General features: G+C 45.2%; 1 long non-coding RNA gene across 1 annotated transcript in view, besides 5 other annotated features; it reads left to right on the forward strand.

Annotated features, from left to right (window-relative positions):
* Positions 1-13,904, forward strand: part of LOC105376197 (uncharacterized) — a 63,129-nt gene that overhangs the window by 39,740 nt on the left and 9,485 nt on the right. Inside the window, exon 3 of the long non-coding RNA XR_930205.3 lies at positions 3,229-3,374. This is a non-coding gene — a long non-coding RNA (uncharacterized LOC105376197). The remainder of the gene's footprint in view (positions 1-3,228; positions 3,375-13,904) is intronic.
* Positions 5,916-6,895: an enhancer, noted in NCBI's record as "OCT4-NANOG-H3K27ac-H3K4me1 hESC enhancer chr9:107899749-107900728 (GRCh37/hg19 assembly coordinates)". NCBI's record gives its function as "activates a minimal SCP1, AML or CMV promoter by ChIP-STARR-seq in naive H9 embryonic stem cells {active_cell/tissue: H9 hESC(naive)}" and the evidence as "EXISTENCE:reporter gene assay evidence [ECO:0000049][PMID:30033119]".
* Positions 6,896-7,875: an enhancer, noted in NCBI's record as "OCT4-NANOG-H3K27ac-H3K4me1 hESC enhancer chr9:107900729-107901708 (GRCh37/hg19 assembly coordinates)". NCBI's record gives its function as "activates a minimal SCP1, AML or CMV promoter by ChIP-STARR-seq in naive H9 embryonic stem cells {active_cell/tissue: H9 hESC(naive)}" and the evidence as "EXISTENCE:reporter gene assay evidence [ECO:0000049][PMID:30033119]".
* Positions 7,876-8,855: an enhancer, noted in NCBI's record as "H3K27ac hESC enhancer chr9:107901709-107902688 (GRCh37/hg19 assembly coordinates)". NCBI's record gives its function as "activates a minimal SCP1, AML or CMV promoter by ChIP-STARR-seq in primed H9 embryonic stem cells {active_cell/tissue: H9 hESC(primed)}" and the evidence as "EXISTENCE:reporter gene assay evidence [ECO:0000049][PMID:30033119]".
* Positions 8,856-9,835: an enhancer, noted in NCBI's record as "H3K27ac hESC enhancer chr9:107902689-107903668 (GRCh37/hg19 assembly coordinates)". NCBI's record gives its function as "activates a minimal SCP1, AML or CMV promoter by ChIP-STARR-seq in primed H9 embryonic stem cells {active_cell/tissue: H9 hESC(primed)}" and the evidence as "EXISTENCE:reporter gene assay evidence [ECO:0000049][PMID:30033119]".
* Positions 10,288-10,337: a silencer, noted in NCBI's record as "silent region_20149". NCBI's record gives its function as "represses an Ori minimal core promoter by ATAC-STARR-seq in GM12878 lymphoblastoid cells {active_cell/tissue: GM12878}" and the evidence as "EXISTENCE:reporter gene assay evidence [ECO:0000049][PMID:35858748]".

Below are 13,904 nucleotides of genomic sequence, written 5' to 3' on the forward strand. Positions count from 1 at the left end.
GAAAAGCAGGGTACCAACCACAGTCAGGCCACCATGCATATTTCCCCAATCCTGTGACAAACAGGACTGAGCCTGCTCTGTGCCAGGCTCTGTCCTGGATGCTGCAGGGACAGAGATGAGACAGACTCAGCCTCGAGGGGCGGCAGCCATGAGTAAACAGGCTATGCTTAGTAGAGTCTGGATTAAGACCCACACAGCACCCATGGGGGCTCCGTGGAGAAAGCAGCTCCAATCCCAAGGGAGCTGCACCTATAAGCTCGAAGCCAGGTGCCAGGGAGGGATGTGGAGCATGGCCTGATCAGCATCACTTGGATGAAATTCCCTTCAGAATAGGTGACAAAAAGAAAGGGCTCCATAGACAAGTCAAGGGACCACTGGAGAGCCCAATAAACATCAATATGCAGAAGAGAGAAGCAACAGTATAAATCCCAAAGTAAATGCTAAGTCTAAAGCCAGATAAAAGGCCAAGCAGGTGTTAGCAATGGCATGGCGGGCATCTGGGAAGGCCAGATCAGTAGCAGAGGCCAGAGCCAAGCAAGCAGAAATGGAACAGAGTGACCCAGACATGTTTGTCTGGGTCTTTATGCTACACCGCCTTCCCTACCTCACAGCTTTATTCTTGATTTATCTCCCACAGCTGACTCTCTGCCAGCCTTGTGCATCAGGAACTTATTAACACTGGTGCCTTCTAGAACTGGGGAAGATCCATCCAGAGTTAGGCTTTTTTTTTTCGAGAGAATCTTGCTCTGTCACCCAGGCTGGAGTGTAGTGGCATGATCTCAGCTTACTGCAACCTCCACCTCCCAGATTCAAGTGATTCTCCTGCCTCAGCCTCCCAAGGAGGTGGGACTACAGGTGCCGCCACCATGCTGGCTAGTTTTTTTTATTTTTAGTAGACACAGGGTCCATGTTGGCCAGGCCAGTCTCAAACTCCTGACCTCAGGTGATCTGCCTGCCTCAGCTTCCCAAAGTGCTGGGATTACAGGCGTGAGCCACCGTGTACAGCAAGAGTTAGGTATTTTCTGCTAACGTTCCTCCTACCTCCTCTTCCCCGCCAGCCAGCTGACTTTCCCAAGATGAGCTAATGGCCTTCCTTTAAAAGAAATAGTGTCAGGCTCCTTTTCTAACTCACATTTTTCCCTAGCATCATTCCATCCAGAGCTTAAGGTTGCTGGTGACCTGGTGGTGTTGGTGACTTCACCATTCTCCCTCTGGGAAATGAAGTGACTCAACAGTCACAAACGCAAAGATAACAGTGCCATCAGCGGTTCCTTGCAGAGCAAAGAAATGCCAGGGTTATTAGGTGTCTGAATAAAGCTGAAGGTCCTGAGGTTAACATAGCAAGAAAAAATGACAGTGTAGAGTTGCAGGCTATTCCAACAATTATCAAGTTCCCAGGAGCAACTCTTAATAAAGGCTTCCTGACTGTTGTGGCAATAGGAAGGGCAGTGTGCTAGACTACAGTTATTCCTTCCTGATTTCCAACATACCAATTTACATGCCTGTGGATGCAGTTGCTGGTATGCTATCATATTGGACATCTATAGGATTATTCGCCCCAAACCCTCTCCTCCTAGAAACTACTCACCCCACCCCTGTCCACACGGCGTGTTCGTTTATTTATTTATTTATTGAGATGGATTTTCACTCGTGTTGCCCAGGCTGGAGTGCAATGGCACGATCTTGACTCACCCCAGCCTCCGCCTCCCAGGTTCAAGCGATTCTCCTGCCTCAGCCTCCGGAGTAGCTAGGATTACAGGCATGCACTATCACACCCAGCTAATTGTGTATTTTTAGTAGAGACAGGGTTTCTCCATGCTGGTCAGGCTGGTCTTGAACTCCCAAACTCAGGTGATCTGTCTGCCTCAGCCTCCCAAAGTGCTGGGATTACAGGCACGAGCCACCACGCCTGGCCCACATGGCGTGTTCTTATCTGGTCTTGTCTTCTCTTTCCATGTTTGATTAGTTAAGTTTGGGTAGTTGACTCAAGGTGGGCCAATCAGAACCTTGCTTGGGATTCATCCCTACTAGAATAAAAGAATCAGTCTCCCTTTGGTGGTGGAAGTTGAAAGATGTAAACTTCAGGAGCTTTTAATAGCCGCATATACAACCATGAGAAGAAGGGCTATTTGCAGTTAGAGAAGGTGAAAGGGTAAAAAGAAGCAGAGGCTAGGGAGGTAAAAAAGAGCTATTGGCAGCATCCAAGTCTCGGGATCCAGTTGTTCCTGAGACCAAGTTGCAGCCATGCTTCCTGCAGTTTGGTTTGCAGGTATGATAAGCTACACCTGATTGTTTATTGGATTCCATGAGCAAGTACATTTGCGTTTTTTGCCTAAGCTGCTTCCAGCCTGAGATTCTTCTACTTGGTGATAAAGTGTCAGAGTCAATCTGCACTTCTGATGACACTATATGGTGGCATAAAAAAAGTAAAGTTCTCCAGAAGGGCCCCCTGGGAACTCCTAACTTTGCTATCATTGTCAGGGTATGATTAAAGAGGGTGTCAGTATGCAGTGGCAGGCTGTCCCCACCGCAGGCCGAACACACCAAACCCAACACAAGAGGAACAAGACAGCCACCATCTTCTGTATCTTTATCTACACTGGGCCTCTGCTTGCTCTAGCATCTCTCTAGCTTTTCATTTGTTCAGCCACTCCAACTGATGTCTAGTTGGTCTGTTTCTCTAGACTCTAACTTCCCGATTCATTCCTTGCTATTTCTCCCCTTTTAACATGCCCTCCAGGTATTCAATTCCAGTGTCAGAGGCGTGTGAACCAGAGCAACTCCATCTTAAATAAGAGCTGGGTGAAATGAGGCTGAAACCTACTGGGCTGCATTCACAGACGGTTAAGGCATTCTAAGTCACAGGATGAGATAGGAGGTCACACAAAATACAGGACATAAAGACCTGGCTGATAAAACAGGTTGCAGTAAAGGAGCCAGCCAAAACCCACCAAAACCAAAATGGCGTCAAGAGTGACCTCTGGTCATCCTCACTGCTACACTCCCACCAGCGCCATGACAGTTTATAAATGCCATGGCAATGTCAGGAAGTTACCCTATATGGTCTAAAAAGGGGAGGTATGAATAATCCACCCCTTGTTTAGCATATCATAAAAAAAAACCATAAAAATGGACAACCAGTAGTCCTCGGGGCTACTCTGTCTATGGGGTAGCCATTCTTTTATTCCTTTACTGTCTTAATAAACTTGCTTTCACTTTGCTCTGCAGACTTGCCCTGACTTCTTTCTTGCGTGAGATCCAAGAACCCTCTCCTGAGCTCTGGATGCGGACCCCTTTTCTGGTAACACCAGCAACCTAGGCAGCCAGCAACCTAAGTTTTGCCTCTGCCAGTCAGCATCAAGGGCTGAGCCTAGGTAAGCCCAGTGAATCAGTCAATGATAAATGGTATGGTATAGTCTAGAAATGCCATCAAAGGTCAGGAAAAGGAAAAATCAGTGTGGGGTACAAATGGCCTTGAATTTGGAGAGGTAGAAAGGACATTCTGGTCTGAAAAACATGAACAAAGACACTGAAGCAGCAAAGAGCATAGGGACAAAAGGAATGGAAAGAAAAAGTAAGCCTGGCTGGAGTGGCATGTTATCAGAAAGGAACCAGCATTAGGTAAATCTGAGAGATAAAAGGGGGTTAGATTACACAGCATCTTAAAAATCAGACAGAGGAGGTTAGACTTCATTTATAGGCAGATATTACAGTAGATTTTTGATCAGAAAAATTATACGAGGAATATGATACTTTAGCCATGCATTTCTTACACAGGATGAGAGAGAGAATATCTCCCTGGCTTACACAAAAGATAAAAGACACATGCCTGTAATCCCAGCATTTTGGGAGGCCGAGGCGGGTGGATCATGAGGTCAGGAGTTGACCAGCCTGGCCAACATGGTGAAACCCTGTCTCTACTAAAAATACAAAAATGAGCCAGCATGGTGGCGGGCACCTGTAGTCCCAGCTACTCGGGAGGCTGAGGCAGGAGAATGGTGTGAACCTGGGAGGTGGAGCTTGCAGTGAGCCAAGATCGGGCCACTGCACTCCAGCCTGGGCGACAGAGCGAGACTCTGTCTCAAAAAACAAATAAACAAACAAACAAGAGATAAAAGAAGAAATAATGCTTATTCTCTCTACCAAACACATTCTTCAGTTTCCTATAGGATCTGTCATTTCTTGTCTCGAGTCTTTTTGCTGTTGGGGCTGCTTTTTTAAAACTTAGTTGTGTTCAATTTAGAATTTATTTTTTTTTTTTTTGAGACGGAGTCTCGCACTGTCGCCAGGCTGAAGTGCAGTGGCACGATCTCAGCTCACTGCAACCTCCACCTCCTGGGTTCAAGTGATTCTCCTGCCTTGGCCTCCCGAGTAGCTTACAGGCATGAGCCACTGTGCCTGGCCCAATATAGAAATTTTTAAAATGCAGCCAAACAAAATTAAAAAATAAAAGTTTCCCCAAAATTTTACATACAAAGTAAGCATTAAGATATTTGTAGCTAGACAGAGTAGCTCATGCCTGTAATTCCAACATTTTGGGAGACTGTGGCACGAGGATTGCTTGAGCCCAGGAGTTCAAGACCAGCGTGGGTAATGTGGTGAGACTCCCCCATCTGTCACCCAGGCTAGAATGCAGAGGCTTGATCTTAGCTCACTGCAACCTCTGCCTCCAGGGTTCAAACTATTCTCCTGCCTCAGCCTCCTGAGTAGCTGCAATTACAGGCACACGCCACCACGCCCAGCTAATTTTTAAATTTTTTTTTAGTAGAAACAGGGTTTCGCCATGTTGGCCAGGCTGGTCTCGAACTCCTGGCCTCAGGTGATCCACACCCTCGGCCTGTCAAAGTGCTGGTGTTCTGATAGAAGGTGTCCAGGTTCTTGGGGTCTCAAACAAATAACTGGACAAAACTCACAAAGACAGGAAAGCAAATGCAGGGATTTATTGAGAACGAAAGTACACTCCACAGTATGGGAGTAGGCCTGAGCACAGGTGCTCAAGAGCCCCGCTCACAGAATTTTCTGAGGTTTCAATACTCTAGACGTTTCCCATTGGTTACTTGGCAAATATTCTATGTAAATGAAGAGAATGAAGTTAAGTCACAGAGTCGTTTACTCAGAATGCACCCTAGTGTAAATGGAGAGGATGTTACTTGGTGTATGTGATCTATGTAAATGGAGAGGATGAAGTGAAGTTACAAAGCCATTCACATTTCTGTCATTGCCGAAGTGCTTTTATTTGATTTACTTCTAGGAAGTCAGCGTGGATCAGCCTCATGTTCCCTATCTCCAGGCCCTATTCTCCTGCCTCGCTGGGATTACAGGCATGAGCCACTGTACACGGGCAAAAATTTTTTTGTTAATTAGCTGGGCATGGTGGTGCACACATGTAGTCCCAGCTATTAGGGAGGCTGAGAGGTAGTAGGATCACTTGAGCCCAGGAGGTTGAGGCTAAAGTAAGCCATGATCATGTCACTACACTCCAGCCTAGGTGACAGAGTGAGACCCTATCTCGAAAAGAATGAGTGAGAGATTTGCATACATCATTCCAGAATGATTCATAATACAGAATATGTTCACCAACATTTTTATTTATATTACATAAATAATCTTCTTTATGTTTAGCAATATATTTTCCATTGGTTGCTTTTGAGTGGTAAATTCCTCTTATTACATTTAAAATATTTGACTCACAAAAAAATTAATTAACATGTACCTTTTTAAGAATTTTATTCCATAGCTCAAACCAGCATTTTCCTAAATTTGTTCTATGTAAGGTTAGAGTTACAAGATATTCTGCCTCAAATAAGCAGGTTATGTTTAGGAAAGGCTATATCCCTTGTGGAAATTAAAGGCTTCTCAGTGTTCTCCGATTAACTGATCAAAGGTAAATGAAGTGTGCTCCAGGAAATGCCTTTTTAATGAAAATTCATTGATATTTGTATAACTCTGATAGAAAGTAACGGATTCAAAAACAGAGAGCTCGCCAGGTACAGTGGCGAGCTGTAATCCCAGCACCTTGGGAGGCCAAGGCAGACGGATCACCTGAAGTCAGGAGTTCAAGACCAGCCTGGCCAACATGGCGAAACCCCATCTCTACTAAAAATACAAAAATTAGCCAGGTGTGGTGGCGGATGCCTGTAATTTCCAGCTACTTGGGAGGCTAAGGCAGGGAGAATTACTTGAATCCGGGAGTGGAGGTTGCAGTGAGGTAAGATCGTATCACTGTACTGCAGCCTGGGCGATATCCTGCACCCATGGAAATAAATGAAAGAGCTTCCATTTGCTGGGACAGTTGTGATCTCCTCATCTTCCAGTGAGACCAGTAGTGGCCACGTGGCCACTCTACACTCCTTTTTTTTTATGAGATGGAGTCTCACTCTCTCTGTCACCCAGGCTGGAGCACAGTGGCACAGTCTCGGCTCACTGCAACCTCCCCCTCGTGGGTTCCAGCAATTCTCCTGCCTCAGCCTCCTGAGTAGCTGGGATCATACATGCGCCACCACGCCCAGTTAATTTTTGTATTTTTAGTAGAGACGGTGTTTCACCATGTTGGTCAGGCTGGTCTCGAACTCCTGACCTCGTGATCCGCCTGCCTCGGCCTCCCAAAGTCCTGGGATTACAGGTGTGAGCCACCGCGCCCGGCCACTGTACACTCATTAGAGACCAGAATTCAAGCATCTGTGTGAGGTTGGATATGTAATTGTCAAAGTCCTTTTCAACCTTGAGACTCTGAATTTTAATTGAGAGCATTAAAAATCTTGTTTTAGATCCAATCACTCCTTTGCCAGCATGGAGCAAGTCATCCAGGTGTCAGTTGCTTCATCTGTGAAACAAAGGGTCTTTGTCTGAGGCCAGGGTTGTCATCTGATGCTGGGTCACAATCTCTAGATCCCCTTGGGGTCCCGCCCAACAGTGACATACTCATGCCCTATTCTTTCTCTTTATTGAGAAGGAAATAGTATAAGCAAACAAAATCATCAAGAGTTGCTTACATATGCACACAGAACATGCACCAAACAGCTGGAAAACAAAGAAAGTAGGTGAAAGGTGAAGTTGTTTTGCTGAATGGGTGTCAGAGGTTGGTTTACAAATCCACAGGGAGGACCAGAGCTCCGCTGATGCTAACACTTGCTCTGAAAAATCTGTTCGCAGAACTCCTAGCGGCCCCGCCTCCCTCCCCACAGCTGGCTTCTTCTGAAAGGCCTAGAGGCAACTAAAGTCTGAGTTTTTATGTTTTGTAAGAAAACAAAGGGAAGTCTAAAAATGTAAAAAAAGAAAAAAGAAAAAACCTTCAGCTGTTCCAATGTAGCCCCACGAGATTGGTTTCTCTGAACTCTGACGGGTCTTGTTGTTTTGTGTGTTCCTCAGAGCCCAAAGAAAACCAACTCCAGGCAGGGTGCAGTGACTCTCGCCTGTACTCCCAGCACTTTGGGAGACCAAGGTGGGTGGATCACCTGAGGTCAGAAGTTTGAGACCAGCCTGGCCAACATGGTGAAACCCCATCTCTACTAAAAATACAAAAAACTTAGCTGGCCGTGGTGGCAGGCGCCTATAGTCCGAGCTACTCAGGAGGCTGAGGCAGGGAAATTGCTTGAACCCAGAAGGTGGAGGTTGCGGTGAGCCGAGATCACGCCATTGCACTCTAGCCTGGGCGACAGAGACTCCATCTCAAAAAAAAAAAAAAAAAAAGAGAAAACCAATTCCATTTTCCTCTTTCTTCCTGGTGTTGAATGACAAAGGGAAGCTAAGGGGCGTTTTCTTCTATCTGGCATACTTTGCAATGTAGAATAAAATAACTTTGAGTTGTGGTCGCTTCTTGAGGTGACCCTCCACCCATCCTCCAGGCAAAATATCACAAAGACCAACAAAACCTGAAACTGAGAAAGATACAGAGCTGATTCCCTGGCTGACTCAACGCCCTGAGACAGGCACTCGCCTCTGAAACCTTCAGGGCTCCTCACTAACTGCAAGACCATGCTCACTGCTCATGTTTGAATGAAGTATACAAATTCAATAAGCAGTCTATCATTTTTGGTGGAGTGACAAGGTCTATTGTTCCCTTGGTGCTGTGTCTCTTTCCATAGAGGCTATAACTTTAACCTACTATAAGGTTAGTTGGTCCTGTCACTGTAATTTCTTTGTGTCTATTTTAGAGAGAACCGACCATGCTTGTGTTATTTGTAGTGTCTGAGGCAGAGAATGGCTCTCCCCAAGCCCCAAGAACCAGCGTAGGACAGTTCTTTTTTTTTGAGACAGGATCTTCACACTGGCTGGAATGCAGTGGTGCAATCTCGGCTTACTGCAACCTCTGCCTCCTGGGCTTAAAGGATCCTCCCACCTCAGTCTCCTGAGTAGCTGGGACTACAGGTGCATGCCACCACACCCGGTATATATATATATATATATATATATATATATATATATATATATATATATTTTTTTTTTTTTAAATATAAAGACAACATTTCCCCATGTTGCCCAGGCTGGTCTCGAACTCCTGAGCTCAAGAGATCTGCCCGCCTCAGCCTCCCAAAGTGCTGGGATTACAGGTGTGAGCCACTGCACCCGGCCTAGGACAGTTCTTATGCCTGCTGGCTAATAAACATTCATAGCTTTAGTAAAATTTTGTCAAGACTGCACCTGGTGGAAAGGTTATAAGGAAAGGGACACATCACCCTCACTCTAACCACCAGAGGCAAGATACCTAATTCATTCTGGTTTTCCTAAGACTTTCCCAGTTTTAGCAGTGGAAGTCTCACGTCCCAGGAAACCCCACAATGCCAGACAAATCAGGGCATTGGTCACCCTACATATCTACCAAATAATTTAATAATTGCTGAATGCCAAATTAATTTTAGCCAGTATAAGACATCTGGTTTCCCTTAAAATAGCTTCTACCATGAAATAGGCTTACATTTCCAAAAAGGATGAAAGGAAAGATGAGATGTGGCGCCTTGCTACTCAATGTGTGGTTAAGAGATCAATTGCATTTACGCTACCCTGGAGTTCTTTCAGCTGTAGACTCTCGGGCCCCACCTCAGACCTACCGAATAAAAGTCTGTAATTTAACAGGGCCTCAAAATGAATTCTTGCACAAGGGCTCTGTTTACATTAAAATCTGTGATGAACCGGCCCAGAGGGAGATATCTCAGGGTGATTTTTAGCTGGGTCTTGAAGTCAGTAGGCATTAGTAGGCAGAGAGGGGTAGGAGGGAGCAGGGAACCGGAACCGGAAAACAAGGGCACAAAGGCAAAGAAAATGACAATGTGTTTATTAACCATGAGTGATTTGTTGTTTCTGGGAGTGAGAGATGGGAAATAGCCTGGGAAGGCAGGTTGGTGAGAAGACTGCAGATGCCCTTAAACTGTAGACTGGAGCAGTAGCTTTGTATCTTCCCTGCTCTCCTTCCTCTCAAGGCTCAGTCCTCTGCTAAACTGTTCTATCTTCTGAAATTTAGAACCCTTCCCTTCCCCTGGCTCAGACTGGCAGCAACTGGTGTCCCGAAGTAACAGCAGAGAAGGGGACGGCAGGCCCAGGGAGATCCTCCCCTAAGGAGAAATTCAAAGGCAAGCTCTTTTCTCCAGGGTCCTTTGAAGGGTCAGAGCCCTGGGCTCCTTAAGGAACTCAGTCTTTGACTGGGAAAGGCAGATAATACAGCCAGCCCCGAAAGGGATGCAGATCAAGGATCTCTATTTCTAGCCAAAAAGTTGGCAAAATGAAGAAATATGTGGAGCTCTGAGCAATATCTCTTTCATTCCGGGACACAGTGTAAAGTAATGATTACTTAACCACTTTGTGCTCCAGGTTCTGAAATCACAAAACAGGAACCCTTGTATCAACCTCTAGGTTACTAGCATTCAGTGAGTTAATGCACGCAAAGCTCTTAGGACAGTGCCTAGATCCTACTAGGAACTCCCTAGAAGGTACTACCTGGATTAAACAATTGCCTTTATCATAATGCGAGAGTTGGAGGCATGGCTTGCTGAGTGAGGAGCTGGGTGGGGCAGCCAGCTTCCAAGATGAACCCCAGTGATCCCCATCTCCTGGTATTCACAGCCTTGTGCAGCACCCTGTACACATTGCAGCAGGGTTGGTCTGTGTGATCAGACCAGTATATGCAGGAGTGATGGCATGTCACTTCTGAGATTAGGTCATTTACAGACTGTGGCTTCCAGCTTGGGATCTCTTTTTCATTTTGGGGGATGCCAACCACTTTGGGGGAAGCCAGCTGCCATGTTGTCAGCCACTCTGTGGAGAGGTTCACATGGTGAGGAACTGAGGGAGACTCTAGCCAACAGCCAATGAGGAACTGAGATCTAGCAACCACCAAGTGAGTGAGCTTAGAAACAAATTCTCCAGCCCTGAGATGACTGCAGCCTGGGCTGACAGCTTGACAGCAGCCTCGTGAGAGGCCCTGAGCCAGAATTACCCAGCTAAACCCCTCCCAGACTGCTGACCCATAGAAAATGTGTATAATAATAAATCCTTGCTGTTTTAAGCTGCTAAATTTGGGGGTAATCTATCATGCAGCAAGAAATAATTATATCACTGGGCTTGGTAAAAATATACACACCATTATGGGGAAGGGTCCAAGAAAACTGGCCTAAATATGCTCAGGCTTTACTCCACAGATGCAACCAGGAGGTCCAGAATCTGTGCCTGAGAAGTCTTGAACAGAATTTAAACAGTACGGCTGAGTGTGGTGGCTCAAGCCTGTAATCCCAGCTGAGGCAGGAGAATCTCTTGAACCTGGGAGGCAGAGGTTGCAGTGAGCCAAGATCACACCACTGCACTCCAGCCTGAGTGATAGAGCGAGAATCAATCTCAAAAAAAACAAACAAACAAAAAACAGGAGTTTAAACTGTAGACAATTTACTCAAGACAGAACCAGGTGACCTGTGGCCAGCAATGGAGACTCCAACCTGGTATCACTGCTTAGAATCCACAAAAGTGACCACTGACAACCCACCCAAAAAAACCTCTGCAGCAACTGCGCTAGTCCTAGAAAAAGGTCTGGTTCAACCGTGTAAGACAGCAGGGCTCTGGCCTCCGCTTTGAGGTCTAGCACATTACTCCTACTCTGAAGTTAGAAATAAAACCACAGTGACTAAGGGATAGATGAGTTCTGCAGGCTGAGCCAAACCAGGAATGGATACCAAATTTATGACATATTTTAAATATATTAAATTAATGCTTTTAACAGCGAAAAAAAAAACCCAAACATGATATAATTATTCCATTGACAAGACACTTTTAAGATTTGTTTTTAAAATAACTTATAGTACACTGTTGTCAAAATGACCAGTAATGCGTCACAAGTTCATGGTTGTGTAATGAATGTGATCTTCTTATCCTGTATCTTCGTGTGAATAACCACATTTGGAAAGAACCCCAAAAGTCTAAATTTGAGTTTCTTTATGAAGGAGAACTGCCACCCCCAATAATCTCTGGGAAGGAGGCTGGCAAAGAAGCCTCGTAACTCCTGGGCTATGTGATATTGAGTGAAGGAGGGTGACCTTTGAGAAAAAAACTGGAGTCTGATTTGTACCAAAGGAAATCTAGGAATTAGAGCAGAACTGCGTGCTGTTGCATCTGAGAGCGTCGCGCATTTCTACGTACTTGCACTGAGGGGAATGTTGGCTCATAACTGGGTACGTGGCTGAGCCCAAGAGATACCCGACAGCACCCCACCAGGAGGAAGCAGAAGCCAGGGATCTGGGAGGGTAACAGCCATTTGTGAAGAAGGAACTTAGCCATGGATGATACCATTTCATATCTTCCAGAACTTTCATACACATTGTTGGCCCCCCTGTGAAGGAGGGAGCCATTTTTAAAAACTAGGGCTCTGAGGTTTTTTGGGAATAAGTTCCCAGATGTTTTCCAGGTCCTGAGCAGCCCTGGCCTTCAGGCTCCCCGAGGCTGCCAGTTCAGTCAACTTCATGCTGCCTTCACTACCTGGCTCCAGGTCCTACAGGATGAAGTGCCACGACAGTGTGCATCCCCAGGCCTTTCTCTCCACTGCGCCAGTGCCCCTCTCAATACCCACCAGTGGGGCAGGAAAACAGAGCAACACTTGAGCTGCACAACTAAAGCCTCAGGTGTCCAATCACCCCTGTGACACATATAGGGCTGCTCTCTCCGTTTATGTAACCTAATCCTTCCCACCATCCCTCCTTCCATCGGCTTCCTCTCATGTCCTGTTCCAACTCAAGCAGAGGAAGAAGGTGCACAACGACAGAGTAAATGCTGGGGCCATGGCACACACAGCACTGGGCTTGGATTCCTCAAGCTGCAAGGGACCTTGACACTTTCTTCTTTGCCCAGTCTCTCTGTCCCCTTTGTTCCCTAGAGAAGCAACTTTATAACTGATCATGATAATGGAAACTAGTTTTTCAAAAAATTAAACATAGACTTATTGTTATGTACCACATAAGGACGTTTTGTTTGACAACAGACTACACATACCACAATGGTCCCATGAAATTATAATACCATATTTGTACTGTACCTTTTTTATGTTTAGATATGTCTAGATACACAAATACTTACCATTGTGTTACAGCTGCCTATAGCATTCAGTACAGCAACATGCTGTACAGATTTATAATCTAGGAGCAATAGGTTACACCATAAAGCCTAGGTGTGTAGTAGGCTTTACCATGTAGGGTGCATCTTTGTGTAAGTGCACCCTACAATTGCACAATGACAGAATTGCATAATGATGCATTTGTCAGACTGTATTTCAGTCAATAAGTGATGTATGACTGCACCATATCATCCAGCAATTCTACTTCTGAGTATACACCCAGAAGAATTCAAAGCAGGGACTTGAACGATATTTGTACACCTATGTTCATAGCATTATTCATAATAGATGGAAGCAACTCAAGTGCCAGTCAACAGATGAACAAAATGTGGTTTATACATATAAACAAAATGTGGCATACACATATAATGAAATATTATAAAGCTTTAATAAGGAAGAAAATTCTTTTTCTTTTTTTTGAGACAGAGTTTCACTCTGTCACCCAGGCTGGAGTGCAGTGGTGCGATCTTAGCTCACTGCAATCTCCACCTCCCAGGTTTAAGCGATTTTCCTGCCACAGCCTCCCGAGTAGCTGGCATTACAGGCACACACCACCATGCCCGGCTAATTTTTGTATTTTTAGTAGAGACAAGATTTCACTATGTTGGCCAGGCTGGTTTCAAATTCCCCACCTCAGGTGATCCACCCGCCTAGGTCTCCCAAAGTGCTGGGATTACAGGCGTGAGCCACCAGCCCTGGCCAGGAAGAAAATTCGAATACATGCCACAGCATGGATGAACCTTGAAGACATTATGCTAAGTGAAATAAGCCAGTTGCAAAAGGACAAATATTGTTTGTTTCTACTTATATGAGGTTCCTAGAGTAGACAAATTTACAGAGACAGAAAGAATGATAGTTGCCAGAGGCTGGAGGGAGGGAGAAATGGGAGTTATTGTGTAATGGGTATGAAGTTTCAGTTTGGGAAGATGAAAAAGTTCTGGAGATGGAGTGGTGGTGACTGTTGAAAGACAATGTGAATATACTTAATACACTCAACAGTACACTTAGTGGTTAAAGTGGTAAGTTTAATGTTATGTATATTTTACCACAATAAAGAATAGTGAAAGCTAACGTTTATTGAGTGCTTACAATGTACTAGGAACAGTATGCTAAGAGATATAAACACATTGTGTCATTTAATCCTCACAACAACACTTCTTTTGAGAGCAATGCTACTAAGGGCACCAAGGTTCTTTATAGCTTAGCAGAGCTCCTAGGAGTTGTCACACACTAATGGTGGGGGTCAGCGGGGAGAGGACCATTCCCCCGGTCAGAAGTCCTATCTGTCACTAATGTTCCTCAGATGCATGTTCTCTAA

The sequence above is a fragment of the Homo sapiens genome, chromosome 9, assembly GCF_000001405.40.
Source record: "Homo sapiens chromosome 9, GRCh38.p14 Primary Assembly".
NCBI lineage: Eukaryota > Metazoa > Chordata > Mammalia > Primates > Hominidae > Homo > Homo sapiens.